The 19,944-nt window shown below is 42.6% G+C and overlaps 1 pseudogene; it reads left to right on the forward strand.

Annotated features, from left to right (window-relative positions):
- On the forward strand, nucleotides 4,093–5,571 carry LOC728376 (zinc finger protein 430 pseudogene; annotated as a pseudogene).

Here is a 19,944-nt window from a genome sequence, read left to right on the forward strand (position 1 = left end):
TATTATCTTGGAGTGAGAGAAACATTTTGTGATTTGGAGGTATGTTTTGAAAAGCTTCTTAACTCTATTGATTGTATGTTTATTTTTGTGAAAAATACACACCAAAATGTACAATCTTAAATACTTCAAATTATGTAGTTCAGTTTATATTACATATATTGACACTGTTAGCAACATATATGTAGAATGTTTTCTATTTTTATGTTATTTCATTGAGACAGAGTCTCACTCTGTCACCCAGGCTGGAGTACACTGGTGGAATCGTGGCTCACCCCGGTCTCCCAGGTTCAAGCAATTCTCCTGGCTCAGCCTCCTGAGTAGCTGGGATTACAGGTATGTGCCACCATGCCTGGCTAATTTTTGTAGTTTTAGTAGAGATGGGATTTTACCATGTTGGTTAGGCTGGTCTTGAACTCCCAACCTCATGTGATCTGCCTGCCTTGGCCTCCCAAAATGCTGGGATTACAGGCGTGAGCCACCGTGCCCAGCCTAGAATGTTAGTATCTTGTGAAACTAATACACAATCCATGTGAATCCTATTTCCCATTGCCTGGCCCTTTCCAAACATTATTCTATTTTCTCTTTTTAATAGTGTATCTACTTTAGATATCCCATATAAGTGGATTCATATAGTATTTGTCTTTTTTCAGCTGGCTTATTAAATTTAACATAATGTCATCAAGATTTATGTTTATGGTAGATGTTAGAAGACTTCTCGTTTGCTTTTAAAGCTGAGTTGTATTCCATTATTTTTATATTCCAAATTATATTTATCCATTCATTTGGTGAGGGAAGTTTGGGTTGCTTTTACCTATTGGCTTTTGTGAATAATGCCACAATAAATGGTGTTAATAACTCATTTGGCCATACATATGAGAATTTTTATCTGTGCTGTATTCTGTTTTGTTGGTGTAGGGTTTTCTTTTACGCCAGTACCAAAGTGCTTTGATTACCTTACCTTTGTTTTGTATTTTGAAATCATTAAGCATGATGTCTCCAATATTGTTTTCTTTTTTTAAATAGTCAGGCTCTTTGTGGTTTCTTGATATTTCATATGATTTGGGAGTTGTTTTCCTATTTTTGGAAAAGAGAAATTTGGAATTTGAAAGGGATTGTATTGAATGTGTAGATAGATCACTTTGGTCCAGTATGGCCATCTTCACAGTATTAAGTCTTCCAACCTTTGAACAAGAGCATGCTTAAGTGTGTATTGTTTAATTTTCATATTTTGTGGGTTTTTTTGGCTTTCCTTCTGTTAGTGATTTGTAGTTTCATTCAATTTGGCCAAAAATAATAGCATGTAATATTCAAGTTTAAAAAATGGATTAAGACTTGTTTTGTAAGATAAGAGGTGTATCCAGGAGAATTTTCTTATGAGCTATTGAAAAGATTGTGGATTCTGCTGTTGTGTGGTGTGTTCTGTATATGTCTTTTAGGTTTAATTGTTTTACATTGCTTTCAAGTCCTTTGTTCCCTTATTAATATTCTGTCATGCTTTATTATTCATTACTGAAAGTATTGAAGTACTCTCCCACTGTTATATTACTTCATTTCTGTTAATGCTTGCTTTATATATTTGGGAAACCTGATAGGAGATACAAATAGGTTCCCAGTGAATGAACCATTTTATATTAATATAATGTCCTTGTTTGTCTCTTGTGAGTTTTGACTTAAACTATGTTTTATAAAATATGACAGCTTTTTACTTAATATAATTAGTTCTCCACCTCTCATTTGGTTAACATTTGCACAGAATGTCTTTTTCCATCCTGCCACTTTCAGTCTATTTTCACCATTAGATCTTAGGTGAGTCTCTTGGAGACATGACATAGGTAGATTTTGTTTTCTAAATTAAAAACAATTCCTTTATTTAATGTATTTCTTTTGATTGGGAAGTTTAGTCCATGAATATTTCAATACTTTTCTGAAAGAAAATGACTGGCACTTACCATTTTATTGTTTTAGTTAAGTCTTATAGCTATTTTGTCCCTATTTACTTTGTATTCCTTTATGTCTTGTTGATATTTGTAATGACTCATGCTTTGCTTTTTTATTTTCTGTTGCGTATCTGCATTTTCTTTATGGTTACCATTTAAATTACATAAAATCTCTTAAAGTTACAACTGTATATTTTAAACTGGTAACAACTTGCACTCAGTTGCATACAAAAATCCTTGCTCATTACATCTGCCCTCAAATTATAATGTCACTGAGTATATCAAATATTAATGGGTTTTAATTTTCATGATGTCTTTCAAATTTTAAAGCACAATTGTTTTCTGCCTAATTATTATAATACTACTAAGTTTTATTTTTGTGTATATGCATATCTTTCCCAGAGAGTCGTGTATTTTTTTTTTTTTTTGAGATGGAGTCTAGCTCTCTCACCCAGGCTGGAGTGCAGTGGTGTGATCTTGACTCACTGCAAGCTCTGCCTCCCGGGTTCACGCCATTCTCTTGCCTCAGCCTCCCGAGTAGCTGGGACTACAAGCACCTGCCACCATGTCCAGCTAATTTTTTGTATTTTTAGTAGAGACAGGGTTTCACCGCATTAGCCAGGATGGTCTCAATCTCCTGACCTCGCGATCCACCTGCCTCGGCCTCCCAAAGTGTTGAGATTACAGGCATGAGCCACCGTGCCCTGACAAATTGTGTATTTTTGTATGATTTGGTTTGTTTTCTGTCATTTTAAATTTTCAATGGGAAAGACTTCTTTTTGCATTTCTTGTAGGACAGTTATACTGGTGATGTACATTCTCAGCATTTAGTTACTTGGAAAATATTTATTTTTTCAAATTTTGTAGGACAGTTTTGTTAAAAGTTTTGTTTCCTTTAGCGCTTGGACTGTATAACTAAAGACCCCTCTTGTTGGCGGGGTTTTCATTCAAAAATTCACTGGTAATCTTGCAGGAGCATGCATATAGATGATACATCTCTTTTGTCTTTCTGCATTCAAGATTATCTTCTTTTCTGTGACTTTCAAAACTTTGCTTATATTGTGTCTTGTTATGGGTCTCTTTATCTGAGTTGAAGTTTGTTGAGCTTCAGTTTTTAGTATGTTTTTTCTTATAATGGATAATTTCTCAGTCTTTTTTTATGCTTCTGCTCTACAATTTGTTTCTCTTTGTCATTGTGTTGATATTCTTATTTTCCTGATTAAACTAAGTTTTCTGTGTTTCTATGTTACACATTGAGAATAATTGAGGTGGTTATTTTGATTTTTAAGGCAATTTATACATCATCATTTCTTTAGGGTTGATTTCTGCATACTTGTTTCTTTGATTGGGCCATGTTAGTCTGATATTTGTATATTTTGTAACATTTGGTTGAGATACGGGCATTTAAAAAAGTAACCTGTCACAGTCTGTATAAAGTGGCTCTCTTCCCTGCAGTGTCTGACACCAATTTACCAGGCTAGATATTGAGAATTTCTCAAACCTGTTCTTAAGATGTCTCTTCCCTATATTTTTGTGTTCTCTTTATTGAGTTATGTGGTTTTGCCCAAGTTTCTGCTTTACAGCTTGTAATTAGTTGGTATACCTGCTGTTTCTCTGTGGTCCTACAGTCTCTCTGCTGCTATAACAATCATTTACCTTTTGTCTCGCAGACACTAACCTGTCATTCAAAGAGTAGCACCATTTCTTTCAGCACTCTTTGTCATGGTAGACAGAAACCAGTCTTTGGAAAGATCCCTCAAAGCCAGAATTATGGACACATGTGCCACTATTTTTTTTTCACTTTTGAGAGAGAAGCCGGGAGTTGAGAGTTTTCACTTAAAGGCATTATTTTGTATTGAGGAGGAAGTATGGCTGTGGTGGGTAAATGTAACAAATGCTCCTTTTTTTTCTATGTGGCTGTTGGCATCGTTTTCATCTGTGGCACTGCAATCTCTTAACTGCTTTTTAGAACTCTTACAAAGGCACTGTGGTCAATATATTTTTGTTAAGTTTACAAGTCTATTAAGGAATTTGGGCTTGTGGTATTATGCTATCTTATTGTGCTTGGTATAATTTTATATTTTGTATTTGTAGGGTATACTCACCTGAGTCTAATAAGTGGTATAATTTATTTTTATTTTTTTTAGCTGTGTCCTCTCATTTCACTCCAGATCTTTTGCCTGAGCAAAGCATAAAACATTTACTCCCAAAAGTGATACTGAGAAGATATGAAAGCTATGACACTGAAAATTTAAACTTAAGACTGGAAAAGTGTGGGTGAGTGTAAGGAACACACACAAAAAAATTATAATGGACTTAACCAATGTTTATCAACTACCTTAGCAAAATCTTTCAGTGTGATGAATGTGGCAAAGCTTTTGACCGGTGCTTAATCCTTACTCAACATAAGATAATTCATGCAGGAAAGAAACCATACAAATGTAAGGAATGTGGCAAAGCCGTTAACTGGTTCTCAAACCTTATTCAAAATAAGAGAATTCATAGTGTAGAGAAGCCCTACAAATGTCAAGAATGTGACAAAGCCTTGAACCAGTGCTCACACCTTATTGGACATGAGAGAATTCATACTGGAGAGAAATCTTACAAATGTGAAGAATGTGGCAAAGCCTTCAACCAGGGCTTACATCTCACTGGACACAAGAGAACTCATACTGGAAGGAAACAATACACATGTGAAGAATGTGGCAAAACTTTTAACTGGTTGTCATACTTTTCTCAACATAAGAGAATTCATACTGGAGAGAAACACTACAATTATAAAAAATGTGGAAAAGCTTTTATGCATGGCTGAATTCTTACTAAAAATAAGATAATTCATACTGGAGAGAAATGCTACAAATGTGAAGAATGTGGCAAAACCTTTAACCAGAGCTCACATCTTATTGGACACAAGAGAATTCATATGGGAAGGAAATCCTACAATTGTGAAAAATGTGGAAAAGCTTTTATGCATGGCTCAATCCTTACTAAAAATAAGAGAATTCATACTGGAGAGAAATGCTACAAATGTGAAGAATGTGGAAAACCTTTAACCAGAGCTCACACCTTATTGGACATAAGAGAATTCATACTGAAAGGAAACCCTACACGTGAAGAATGTGGCAAAACTTTTAACTGGTTCTCATACTTTTCTCAACATAAGAGAATTCATACTGGAGAGAAACCCTACAATTGTGAAGAATGTGGAAAAGCTTTTATGCATGGCTCAATCCTGACTAAAAATAGGAGAATTCATACTGGAGAGAAATGCTACAAATGTGAAGAATGTGGCAAAACCTTTAACCAGAGCTCACATCTTATTGGACACAAGAGAATTCATACTGGAGAGCAATGCTACAAATGTGAAAAACGTGGCAAAGCCTTTAACTGGGTTTCAAACCTTACTAAATATAAGGGAATTCATACTGGAGAGAAATCCTAGAAATGTGAAGAATGTGGTAAGTATTTGATCAATGGTCAATCCTTACTGAATATAAGATAATTCACATGATAGAGAGCCCCTATAATTGTAAGGAACATAGCAAAGGTTTTATTTTGTGCTCAACTTTTACTATAAGTGAATTCATTCTGGAGAGAAATTTTACCAAAGTAAAGAATGTGGCAAAACCATTAATGAATGTTGACATCACAATCTACATCAGTGATTTCATACTAAATAAAATTGGTATAAATGTAATGACTGTTGAAGGGTCTTTCACAAAATATAACCCTTAAAGTGCACAGGATTATTTTACCGAACAAAAACATTACAAATATAAAGAAAGGCACAATACCTTACTTATACCACAGATTTTATTGTACACTGGAAAATGTATACTGAAGGGAAACTCTCCAGGAGTTCCTCAAACTTTATACTGGGGAGAAACCCTATGGATGTAATTAATTGGAAAAACTTTTGTTCCATACATATACCTTAGAAAACACTGGAGAGTTTCTACCAGAATATATTATACAGATTTAGATAATGTGAAAATGTAAATTAGAAATCAAGCCAAAGAAATATCATAGATTGACAGTAGAAAGCACTAAGGCAGTAACAGTTTAAGACATTACTCTAAATCCATGTTGATTATAGAGAATAATTTAAAATAGGTTGCTTACTTGTACCTAAGTTTAAATGGAGAAGGAGATTAATTTTTTCTTTTTTGGACAGTTATAATTACATTCAAATTATACTTTTTGGAATTGAAATAATTTTAGTTATTTTGAAAAGCAAATATTTATGTAAATTAAACACAAATTTCTTGATGTTATATCTTCATTTCTAGTGCTTATGTGAAAGCATGTGGTTTCTGCATCAGTCCTCTGAGACATGTTTCACTATTAGGTAGGCACCATTAACACACTTTTCCATGGAACACTAAGGACATTTAAATGTAAGACACATGAAGAAAATCTAAGTGGAGAGGCCTTTTATAACAGTGTTGTAAGTGATTCATGCGGCAGGTGTTAAGGGTAATATTATTTTGCATTGTAGTAGAAAAGAAGCATTTTGAATCTTAGAAGTAATTTGTTTTACCAGTTACACGTTAAAATAATGAAATGCGTGGAGTTTAAAATACTTTTTGAGACAATGTTTGAACTTAATTTATTTTAATGGAATAAAATTGTTTTTTATGTGTTAAGACTGTTTTCAGAGGCATAGACAGGCTCAGAGAGCTGCAGTAATATCCTTAGTACCCACCTAGTAGCCTGCAGAGTCAACACTGTGTCTTGGAGGAGACAGATACCTACTAAATAGCTGGCCCAGGAACTGTGGATTGGTGGTGAAGTCCTGGTAGGAGCCCAGGAAGGTGGTAAAGGAGAAGATGGCTCAACTTGGAAGTCTGGTACAAGAGGCTCATGCAGCTTCTCCCTTGTACATGGCTGGGAGTATCTGCATAATTCCCATCTCAAGGTTTAAGGTAGAGTTTTATTTATTTATCTATTTTGAGATGGAGTCTCGCTCTGTCGCCCAGGCTGGAGTGCAGTGGCGTGCTCTCAGCTCACTGCAAGCTCTGCCTCCAAGGTTCACGCCATTGTCCTGCCTCAGCCTCCTGAGTAGCTGGTACTACAGGTGCCCGCCACCACACCTGGCTAATTTTTTTGTATTTTTAGTAGAGACGGGGTTTCACTGTGTTAGCCAGGATGGTCTCAATCTCCTGACCTCATGATACGCCCGCCTCAGCCTCCCAAAGTGCTGGGTTTACAGGCGTGAGCCACTGCACCCAGCCAGAGTAGACTTATTTTTTTATGGAGGGGAACAAGAAGAGACATATGGTCAATGACAGCACTGTGAACCACTGGCAGGTTGGGGGCTGGGGCTTATACTAGGAAGCTCCCATTCTTCAGAGACTTGTGCATGTGGAGTACACAGGTGTCCATGGTGAAGGTTCAAGGCTTCCAAAGTTTTATGTGGGCCAGGTGCAGTGGCTCATGCCTGTAATCCCAGCACTTTGGTAGGCCGAGGTGGCTGGATCACCTGAGGTCAGGAGATCAAGATCAGCCTGGCCAACATGGTGAAACCTTGTCTCTACTATTAATACAAAAAATTAGCCAGGTGAGGCGGCAGGTTTGGCGGCAGGTGCCTGTAATCCCAGCTACTCAGGAGGCTGAGGCAGGATAATTGCTTGAACCTAGGAGGTGGAGGTTGCAGTGAACCAAGATCATACCATTGCACTCCAGCCTAGGTGACAAGAGTGAAACTCCATCTGAAAAACAAACAAACAGCGACAAGAAAGTTTTATGTGGAGGTGGAGAATAATTAAGCCATTAACACCTTCAAGGCATCTTCATGATACTTTGTCATCTGTAGAGCAACAGCACCCATCTACATTAATAGCCTGTATGAAGAGAATTATCCCAGTGAGTCCTCAAAAAATGTCCTTCTTGTAAAGTTGGGAAAACACAGGCTTTGTAATGTCAAATGTCTGCTGAACAGCGCATGGATCAGAACTGAGAACTGTAAACAGCAAGGGCTGCAAGAAATTTCCTTCAAGCTGTTGGAGGCTCTATCTGCTCCTCACATGGATGGAAAGGACCTCAAGGAGCCTCATTTTCTATTTTAGAGACAGTGCACAGGGCAAGACAGCCTAGGAATACTTTTTTGACTTTAAGCAACACAATTTTTTAACATTAAAAAGAACCTTGCCAAACAGATACAATTACAGACGTGACAAGGGGGCAAATGCTGGGAGAGTCCAGGAGGGGAGAAAGCCCACTTAAAGGGCCAAGAATCTGAGCAGATGACTCAGGGAAAACACATTTGTATTAAGCAATTGAAGGATGACTTGAAAATTTCAGTCAGAAAACTGGAAATCAACATGAATCAACATGATTTTATTTGCCACATGGATACCAGATTGGCAAAACATTAAAAGAAAGTTAACATCCAGGAGAATCTGGATTCAGGGAAGCAGCTACATTCAGAAATTGCTGGTGGCAATGTACCTTCCTAAGCCCTTTTGGAAAGTGATCGGTCTATAGCTATTAAAATTTTACATATGCATATCCTTCCACCAAGTAATCTCCTGGGGAGTTTGTCATCTACAAGGAAATAATATATCCAATGGGCTGAGCGGTGTCCCCTCCCCAAAGTTCATGTTCTAACACTCAGTGCCTCAGAATGTGACTGTATTTGGACATATGGTCTCCAAAGAGGTTACAGGTTTTGAGTTCATTAGAGTGGACCCAAATCCAATATGACTGGAGTCCTTATTAGAAGAGGCGTTAAGGATGCAGAGATAGAAGTTCAGCCATCTACAAGCCAAGGAGAGAGTTCTCAGAGAAACCATTCCAGCTAACAGCTTGTCGTTGGATTTCTAGCCTCCAGAATTGTAGAAAACTAAGTTTCTGCTGTTAAAGTCCTTCAGTCTGCAGTGGTTTGTATGGATGCTCTACCAGATGGTTATAGACTATTAGGGCACACATAGGATGTTTCCTGAGAAGTGGCTGAAATGGAAATAGAAGACGATCATGTTCAGGCTCCACCTGCATTGCAAGGCTGAACTGCTGAGGAAAATGGCCTCCTTTATGGAATATTATGAAGACATGTGAGGTTGCAGATCCAGCCCTGATGGGGCTACAGGAACGAATTCTGTGGGATAGCCCATACATAGAGTAGCCTAAACATCCACCCTCCCCTTTTCAGCACCCCTTTTTGTGTAAAAACCTCCCTAGTTAAAGTGTGGGCTTTTAAATCTTAAAGGTCTGGCAGGGCAGTGTAGTTGCCTGCTATAGGAAATACCTTGGGTGGGTGTTTAAAACAATATAAATAGGCTGGGCACTGTGGCTAATGCCTGTAGTCCTAGCACTTTGGGAGGCTGAGGCAGGTGGATCACCTGAGGTCAGGAGTTCAAGACCAGCCTGACTAACATGGTGAAACCCCGTCTCTACTAAAAATGCAAAAATTAGCCAGGCATGGTGGCACGTGCCTGAAATCTCAGCTACCTGGGAGGCTGAGGCAGTAGAATCACTGGAACCTGGGAGGCGTAGGTTGCACTGAGCCAAGATCAGGCCGCAGCACTCCAGCCTGGGTGACAGACTAAGACTCTGTCTCAAAAAAAACAAAAAAAAGCCAATATAAATAGTAGCAACATGCAAAGATACTCATGGCCTAGTGTAAACAATACAAAACTATTTTTCTCCTTTTTCTACAACTATGTGAGCAAGAACTTAGCACCAAACCAAGTTTCTGTTGGTGATGAATGGAGGTCCAATTCTTTTGGGAGGAGACTGTGGGTCATTTAGATGTCAAAGCCCTTTGACAGGGGCAATGGAGTCTCCATATTTGAGTCTGGGTCCTGGGCCTGCCCTGATCTTCTTGGATTCCTGTCTGAGGTGGTCCCTCTGTTCCTACTGTCACCCCAGACCAGCGCTGGCCATGGTTGGTGGCGTGGTGCTCCTGCCCTTTGTCCAAGGAGATGGGGTGGTTGAACCTATTACTCATTTCTACTGATCTGCATGAAGCTCTGCAAGGAGAGTGCCCAGAAGCTGGGCCAAGAGGCATCAGTGACCTGCCTGGCTATCTCTGCAGTGGGGAAAGTCCAATTAGAAATTCTGTTCTCCAGATCAGGTACCTGTGAGCATCTGCATAGACTCCCAGCCAGAGAGAAAACCAGATTACAGTGTGAAGTCTTGGGGTTAACATCTGAGTAGACAAACTTGTTCTCCAACACTCAACTTCTTATCCTGTCAGCCATGACTTGGGATATGATCCTGGCAGACCTATCAGGCTCCAAACACCTTACCACCTGCTCCTGTCCAGGGAAGGCACCCTCAACTCTTATTCCCCCAACACATGGTGATGGGCAGGGATGTGGGGTTGCCCAGATGGGATCACAGGTGAGGCCTGGCCTGGATGGGTCTGCCCTGAGCTGCCCTGTGTTACCTATGTGTGTCCCCTGCCAAGCGACCTGAGGATTTGTGGATGAGAGCTGAGCCAACGTCTGCATCATTGGAAGATGCCCTCACTTCAAGCCTTCCACAGATGAGAGCCTCAGGAAGTCAAGATATAGCAATAGAACATCTTGCTCTTGAGCATCTCCATGAAATTAGCTTGATACAGGGCTGTGTCTAGAATAAGGGTTTCTGGTTACCAGAGTTTTAAGTTCTGGAGGGTCTGACACCAAGAAAGTGAGGTTACTTGAAGGTTCCATGACCTGGGCCCCTTCTTTCAGTGTGAGCTGCCCACAGGCCCTGCTGGGGTCCTGACTGCTCACCCTCCTTCCCCGTGTCAACTTCTAGAACTGCCTTAATTGCACATGACATAATCCTTTATAGCAAAATGTGTAAGACTTTCACTCAAATACCATTAGAATTAATAAGTTGATCAGTGTCACAAGATACAAGATACACATACAAAATTTTACTTAAAGCAACCAACAATAAAAATAAAATGTATAAATTTGATTTATAATGCTTCAAAAATATTTAGAAAAAGTAATAGAAGTGCAAAAATTTTACACTTATTATTATTATTTTTTTGAGACAAGGTCTTGCTCTGTCACCCAGGCTGTAGTGCAGTGGTGTGATCACAGCTCACTGCAGCCTCGACCTCCTGGGCTCAATTGATCCACCTGCTTCAGCCTCCTCAATAGCTGGGACTACAGGTGTGTGCCACCATGCCTGACTAATTTTTGTATTTCTTGTAGAGACTGGGTTTCTCCATGTTTCCTAGGCTGTTCTCCAACTGGGCTCAAGCAGTCTGCCTGCTTCTGCCTACTAAAGTGTTGGGATTATAGGTGGGAGCCACCATGCCTGGCCTACACTTAATTTTTTTTTTTAATGCTGAAAGAAATCAAGATCTGAAATAATTTAAAGGTGTCTAATTTTCAAGAATAAAAATGCTTAATATTTCCAAGATAACAATATCCCACAAATGGACTGAGAAATTCAAAATAATCCCTTCAAATTCACAGCTATTTTTTGTTGTTGTTTAAAATGACAACTCTTCCTACACCAAAACTGATATAGATATGCACAGGAAACCAAAAGCATGAAACAATCTTGAAGAACAATTGACTTCCATTTCCCAATACAAATTCTTACTGCAGGCTGGGTGCAGTGGCTCACACCTGTAATTCCAGCATTTTGGGAGGCCGAGGGGGGCGGATCACTTAAGGTCAGGTTCAAGACCAACCTGGCCAACATGGTGAAACCCTGTCTGTACTGAAAAAAACAAAAAGCAAAAAACAAAATTAGCCAGGCATGGTGGCAGGCGCCTGTAACCCCTGCTACTTGGGAGGCTGAGGCAGGAGAATTGCTTGAACCCGGGAAGTGGAGGTTGCAGTGAGCTGAGATCACACCAATGCACTCTAGCCTGGGCGATAGAGTGGGACTCCATCTAAAAAAAATTCTTACAGCAAAGAATAATATCTATTACCCCACTTCCTCCCCATTTTTTTCTCTGTCCAGACTTAGAACTATGGGGTAATTTGACCTCTCTGTGATACAGCCAGCTGCAGGTTTTTCCCTGCAGGCTTAAACCCAAGCCAGGGTCTCAAACATTCCCAGGCACTGATAAAAATGTTTAGGATGTTGCCCACAGCATTGATAGAAATTAGCCCTGGCCCTAAGTCAAATTTCTTAACCTTTATATAAGCTCCATAAACAGATCCACTCATTGCAGACATACCGGGGTAGAACATCTGTGTTTTGACCCTTGCAAGGATACACTGCCATCCCCTCTTTGTGTCTGTTCCTTTAATGCATGCTTTGAACAGACCACTCTGGGCTTCGAGGCTTCTTTCTTTGGAATTCCATCTGCCCCATTTCAGGATGGTTTGGGGCAGTCCCTTGTGGAAACTCCCCTGCTGTCACTTTTAGGGCAACTCCAGCCACTGATTCAGCCTGAGGAAAGAACTGGTGTAGTCGGCATTACTCTAAAGAATGTGCTGGGAGGCCGGGTGCAGGGGCTTACACCTGTAATCCCAGCCCTTTGGGAGGCCAAGGTGGGTGGATCACGAGGTCAGGAGTTCAAGAGCAGCCTGGCCAACCTGGTGAAACCTGGAGTCTACTAAAAATACAAAAATTAGCCGGGCATGGTGGCGGGTGCCTGTAATCTCAGCTACTTGGGAGGCTGTGATAGGAGAATCACTTGAACCTTGGAGGTAGAGGTTGCAGTGAGCCCAGATCGTGTCACTGCACTCCAGCCTGGGCGACAGAGCAAGACTCTGTATCAAAAAAAAAAAAAAGAGAGAATGGCCTAGAGAAAACAGGACCCTGCTGGGGAGATCCCAGGATGACTGCAAGCGCCTATGTGAGGCTCTGTCACCCACTGCCTGATGCCTGCAGGCTGCCCTGTGAGTGCCAAGATGCTGTGAAAGCTCCAGCAGGCTAGAGGAGGCTGATGGGGGTGTTGAAATTTCCAAGGATCCTGGAGCTCATCGGGCAGAGAGGCGTTAGGCTGGCCTCTGCCACGGCAGTCCACCAGGGAACAAAGGCTCTGCTGGGGACCAAGAGCAAAGTCCCCAAGTTAGAGGAGGAGGAATGCACCTAGAGGAAGGCCTGCTGCTGCCCACTCTGTCAGTTACCCCTGTGGAGGTTAAATGGAAGAAAGGCTCTGTGGAGAGGTGCCAGGGGAGTCTGCAGCCTCAGGCCTGCTTCTGAGGGTGGCTTTGGATGGTAGTGGCAGCAGGTGCTCTGGGTCCCATTTTCTTTGGCAGACAGAGAAAAAAAGAGGAAAGAGAAGCTGCCCCGCCTGCCCCACAGTCACCTCAAGCTCACTGGGGCTCTAGGTGATCTGTGGTGGTAGCTGGACCATGCTAGGTCTTGAGGGGCAGGGCTGAGGGGTGCTGCAGCAGTGGCTGTTTTCGTGTAGACAGCAGGCCTGGCTGATACTTGGACCTGTACAGGACAGGAGTGGAATTTTTGGGGCTGGGAATGGAGTGTGGGTGCCAGTGTGAGGAGCAGGCTGGTACCACCACCTCTTCCATCTCCCAAGAGTGGAGCTAGCACCACAGCCCCTACCATGACAGGACGGCCAATATTTCTTTCAATGTTTGGCCATTGAAGGGCACCAGAGGCCCCATGTGGCTAGAATGAGTCACCGGTCCCTTCAGAGCAAGCAACAAGTTTTGGCTCTGAGGGGTCTACATCTTCCCAATCCTCTAGTACATGCTGGGACAAACACTCTCCTGGGAACTGTCCTTGAGACAACCTTAGACAAGTTCTGTCTCTAGGTGGGGGTCTCAAAACCCATGCTTTGAGGGGAAGCCAAATGGAAGCCAGTGACATTATCCCGCACAAGAGGACTGGTGTGTATCAAACAATGTCGCTTCCCAGGAGGGCACAGGGCATCATAGCTTTTTTTTTTTTTTTTTTTTTTTTTTTTTTTTTTTTTTTTACAGAGTCTCGCTCTGTCACCCAGACTGTAGTGTAGTGGCACAATCTTGGCTCACTGCAACCTCTGCTTCTCAGGTTCAAGAGATTATCTTGCCTCAGACTCCTGAGTAGCTGGGATTACAGCCAAGCACCATGACGTTGGGTAATTTTTGTATTTTTAGTAGAGATGGGGTTTCACCATATTGACCAGGCTGGTCTAGACTTCCTGACCTCAAGTGATCCACCCACCTCAGCTTCCCAAAGCACTGGGATTACAGGCATAAGCCACTGTCCCTGACCTGAGATCATGGCTTCTTTTCAGGACTTGGAGAGGATGGGGATTGCATGTCTGCACAGAGCCCATAAAACAGCTTTGTGTGGTTGGTGCCAAAGCCTGATGGTACCTGGAGTATGACAGTTGATTCTTGGGGTATTATGACAGTTGATCATTGATTATTGGGAACTGAATAAGGTGACTCTGGCCATGCATGCTGTTGTCCCCCAAATGGCTCAAATCCTGGAAAAACTAAATACTTGCTCAGGTCCATGGCATACTGTCCTGCATTTGGCAAATGCTTTTGGCAGCATACACTTAGACCCAAAGTCCCAGGACCATTTTGCCTTCAACTGAGAGGACTAACAATGTGCCTTTTGGTTGCTCCCAGAGAAATTTACACAGCCCAACTATCTGACATGGTTTAGAGTGATGTGAGACATTTTGGAGTGATGTGCCCAACATTCTCTGGGAAAACAATATGGATAATGTTATTCTAATCTCTACAGATTGAAGTCTTTTGCAGAAACCTCCCCAGAAACTCCTAGAGTATTTACAATCCAGAGGATGGGCCAGTCATGCACAGAAAGTCCAGGGACCAGGCGGCACCATAACATTACTGGGCATGGTCAGGTTAAGTAAGACCAAGGTTTTGCCAACAGCTGTGACCATCAAAATCCAGACATACCCACAGGCCTCTGTATAGTTTGGATCTGTGTCCCTGCCTGAATCTCAAATCTAACTGTAATCTGCAGTGTTGGAGGTGAGGCCTGGTGGGAGGTGATTGGATCATGGAGGTGGTCCCTCATGAATGGCTGAGCACTATCCCCTCTGCGCTGTTCTTGTGATAGTGAGAGCTCTCACAAGATCTAGTTGTTTAAAAGTGTGCAGGCCGGGTGCGGTGGCTCACGCATGTAATCTCAGCACTTTGGGAGGCCGAGGCAGGCAGATAACGAGGTCAGGAGATCGAGACAATCCTGGCTAACATGGTGAAACCCCATCTCTACTAAAAATACAAAAATTAGCTGGGCGTCGTGGCACGTGCCTGTAGTCCCAGCTACTTGGGAGACCAAGTCAGGAGAATCACTTGAACCCGGGAGGTGAAAGTTGCAGTGAGCCGAGATCGCACCATTGCACTCCAGCCTGGGCAACAGAGTGAGACTCCATTTCAAAAAAAAAGTATGTAGCATCTCTCTCCTCTCTCTCTTGTTCCTGTTCCAGTCATGTAAGATGTGCCTGCCTGCTTCCTCTTCCCCTTCCACCATGATTTTAAGCTCCCTAAGGCCAGCAGTGTGAGAATGGACTAATATACCTTGTTTTATGAAACGGCTGTATCTGCAAAGGGATCCGCAACACAGAAGGAGGCAGGAAACCAAAGAATGAGACAGACAAATCCAGTTTGTCAGTAAAGGGTAATTTATTGGGGGGAATTTGTGGACAGAAGCATGGTCTTGAGTGGTAGCAAGACAGGTAGTTCCCCAGGCTGTTACTGCCAAGATTTAGGGCTTACTTAGTATAGGAAAAGGGTAAATATGCACTATAGGAATGTGCAGGACATTTAAGGTCAGCCTTCCAGAAAGAAAATGAGGTGCTCATCGTAGCCTGTAGTTTGTATGATGACATATAGGTTGCTTTGACCTAAGGAGAAGATTTACAGTAAGTATGTGCTCTTACACAAGAAACAGTAGATCAAGTAGAAATCTTAAAGGCATTCCCAGAAATCGGGTTAATCCAAAGTCAACATGGTGGATTCGCATCCAAGATGGAGCTGCTTTAGCCTCCACAGGCTCCTTCCCCAGACCCGTGGAGCCCTTAGGGTTTAGAGGACCAGCGTAGAAATTCTCATCCAGGCAGTTTCTTCCTTTTGGTTCTCGAAAGGGAACTGAGTGTACACATCTGCTTATTATTCTCAAATAATTTCTTCTTTCACCTTATTATTTCTCAAATCTTTCCTTCTTTTCCCTCTCCACAGAAAAAGTTCCAGAAAATTTAAAAATCTTTTCAGAAAAGACAGTACACTGAGCAAGATTTGCACATCAAGAAAAAGTAGAGACAGGAGATGAGAGTCAAGTGTTTTGGGGGGTAGAGAAAAAGACTAGGCTGGAAGGGGTACTGGGCCACTTGTGCGGGTGTGTACACCTGTGTGTGTGTGTGTGGTGTGTGCGTGTGTGTGGTGTGTAACATTTCTACTTGAAAAACTCCAGCCCTCTCTAGCCTGGATTAATAGAAAGATGTGTGTTTGCCCATGGGCAGGTGGGGTGCTTGGGGGCAGGAGACCCTGGAATGGGATGCGGTGATGGCAGCTGGGCTGTTGGGCAGGCGGGATGAGCTGCAGAAGGAGCAGGGCTCTGGTTCCCAGGCTTGTCCATCCTGCTGGCATGGAGCCACCTCCAGGCTGTGGGGTGGGTGTGGTAGGTGGGGCTTCCTTCCTTCCCCAGACTAGCCCAGCAATTCCCCAGGAAGCCAGACCTCTGCTACCCTTCTTTCTGCACCTCTACAGGGAGAGTCATCCTGTCTGCACCAAGGATGGGAAAAGCAGAGGAATCCCACAGGCCAGGTGGGTCGCAATGGGTAAACGGGGGGTGAACATATATGTGTTTCCTGTGGCTCCCCACTCTGTCATTTGCAGACACTGCTAATCAGTCAGTCACAGAATTCTCACCCCAGTGCCCAGTGAGCACCACCAAAAGCTCCAGATGGTTTATAAGTATCTGGAGACTCTTGCATTCCCTGTGGATCCTTCCTGACCAGATCTTAGAATCTTGCCTGGAAATGAGGAAGTGGCATGTCACCACCCAGTACCTTAGGAAGACCCTGCCCTGTCAGTCAGAGATGGCATCTTGGGTGACCACTCCCTGAGTGGAGGAAGAGAGGGTCCTGTGCAGGGAGCTTCCTTGGTGGATCATGGGGTAAGTGATGCCTTTGGTCTGGCATAAAGCCTGGTGTGTGGAGCAGAGATTCGAGTGGGGCTGGGACAAGCAGGTGCTGCTCAACCAGGCCTCCAAATACACCTTGTCCCCCTCCCACCATAGCTGAGCCTGGATGGGAATGTGGACACCTCATAGACTCCAGAGGATGGGACCCTGGTCAGTGGTGGTCCTGGGGTGTGGGGTGAAGGCAGCTGGGACAGGGCCTTCAGGTGTGGGAGGAGCCAGCCTCTCCTGTGAGGCCCTGGGCAAGTCCCTGCCCTCTTTGGGCCTCTGTTTCCTCATCTGGCAAATGTACAAATCATGAGCCTGTTGTGCAGGCCTCACAGGGTCATGATGGGGTTCGGGGAGGATGGGAATTTGAGGGTGCTTGTGCCTGGCTCTTCTCATGAAGGATGATGGTGACAGCAATGCTGAGAGCCACATGAAACCGAGTCCTCAGGAGGCCCTGTGAGGATGGTGTGGTTCCCATCACACTTCCCTGACAAGAGGGAATTATGATCTTCAGACTCAGGAGAAATATGGGGTTTGTTTCAAGTCCATGGAGCTCCACAGTTCTTTTGAGAGGTGAGAGCCTAGCAGGTTGACCTAGCGGATTGACAGAGGGTGGGCAGAGACTCTGTCTTGTGGTCACTTTCAGACAGCCTGTGGCCACGGGTCCCTGGTCAGCAGCAGGCCCTGTTGAATGGGAGCACTGGGCAGGCACTGTGAGGGAGGCCTGAGGTGTGGCTCCTGGAACCTCACAGCTGTTGCTCTGTCCTACAGCTACAGCCTGTCCTGCTGCTGAGCCCCATCCCAGTAGGCCAGCCACGCCCTCAAGGCCAAGAAGACCAAGCCATGAAGAATCTCAGGCCCACTGAATGCCCGGGTGGCAGGGGCAGAGTGCCTCAGGGCTCAGGGAAGTTTGGGCTGAGTGTGTGCTCTGGGAGCCAGACAGCTAGCTGCACAGGGCTCCCAGCTCCACCATGACCAGCCCTGTAACTGGGGCAGGGGACTCACTCCTGTGGTACTTGAGCATCATTGTCATATAATTAATGTGTCTGTCCAATCCTTTTCTCTTTTTATCTCTCTTCCTCTATAATCGCCATGTACTACTGATCTGTTAGTGATTGTGTTCAAATGAATAAACATATGTTAAATAGTGTGTATTGTACTTCCTCATGATTTCTTCACTATAGTGTATGACTCCACTCATACGAGGTACTTAGAATAGTCAAGTTTACAGAAACACAAAGTAGAAGAGTGGTTCCCGGGGCTACAGGAAGGTAGGTGAGGTGTTTAATGGGTACAGAGTTTTAGTTTTGCAAGAGGAAAAACACCCCCTATAAATGTGGAGGATGCTCGTAAAACCGTGTGAATGTGCTTAATTCCTTTGACCTGCACTCTTAAAAATTGTTAAAATGAAAAAAAAAATTGTTGACCAGGTGCAGTGGCTCACGCCTGTAATCCTAGCACTTAGGGAGGCGGAGGTGGGCAGATCACCTGAGGTCAGGAGTGCAAGACTAGCCTGGCCAACATGGTGAAGCCCCGTCTCTAGTAAGGATACAAAAATTAGCCAGCTATGGTGGTGCATGTCTCTAATCCCAGCTACTCGGGAGGCTGAGGCAGAAGAATTGCTTGAACCTAGGAGGTGAAGGTTGCAGTGAACCAACATTGCACCACTGCACTCCAGCCTGAGAAACAGAGCAAGACTCTGTCTCAAAAAAAGAAACAGAAATCCCAGCAACAACAAAAAAAACAGACTATAGCTATCTGCAATGGCATGAATGAATATCACAAATATAATGTATAAAAGTAAGTAGATATAAAAATATACGTACTATATAATTTTATACAAAATCCAATAAGCAGAAAAAACTGAGGTCCTGGTTTTCAGTAATACTGGAGTAGCTTGTTGAATTAACACAGATTATAATGAAGACACCTGAATAATATATTTTTTATATATATATATATATTTTTTTAATGAAGTCTCACTCTGTCACACAGGCAAGAGTGCAGTGGTGTGATCTCAGCTCACTGCAACCTCTGCCTCCTGGGTTCAAGCGATTCTCCTGCCTCAGCCTCCCAAGTAGCTGGGACTACAGGCGCACGCCACCATGCCTGGCTAATTTTTGTATTTTTAGTAGAGATGGGGTTTCACCATGTAGGCCAGTCTGGTCTTGAACTCATGACCTCATGATCCGCCCACCTCAGCCTCCCAAAGTGCTGGGATTACAGGCGTGAGCCACCGTGCCCTGCCTATATTATATATTGTTATAGAAACACATCTGTATGATACAAATATGACCTATGTGTGGGTAAGAACTGAATGAGGATTTCAGCTGTGCCCACTGTAGGGGAGATAGGTATTGAAGTTTGAATCCAGCCCAATTAAAACGGTTTGTAAACAGTAACATCGCTCTTCAAAGCTACACAACGGAATTGAGAGTCTCTATAATGATTCTTTACAGTTTTAGTACACAACTTTAAAATTCATGAGACGTGTGAGGAAACACGAAAATGAGATCCATACACAATTTAAAAAGCAGGCAGTAGAAGTGATCCTAAGATATTCAAGGTGTTCTAATTCAGGATGTTTAAAGGCAGCTATTATAAATCTGTTCATGGGGGTAAAGGAAAATATTTTAAGAGATGTGGAACCTAAGCAAAGAAATGGAAATTATGAAACAATAGGAAGATAAGGAAATTAAAAGAAATACTTTTGAGCTTATTCAAAGATTAGAAACAGAAGACAGAGCAATAGAAATTGCCCATTCTGAATAAAAGAGAGAAAAAGCTTAAAGAAAATGAAGAGTCTTAGAGACCTGTAGAGTGATTGAGTCCAAGTTGGAGAGGGGACAGAAAAATTAAATGAGGTACAAAGTAAATCACCAACTAATAGCTAAAAACTTCCAAAAATTGGTCAAACCCCCCAGTTTTTATACCCAACATGTCAACAAACCCGTCCAAAAAATATAAATAAAACCATACCAAGGCCATA

The sequence above is a fragment of the Homo sapiens genome, chromosome 7 (assembly GCF_000001405.40).
Source record: "Homo sapiens chromosome 7, GRCh38.p14 Primary Assembly".
NCBI lineage: Eukaryota > Metazoa > Chordata > Mammalia > Primates > Hominidae > Homo > Homo sapiens.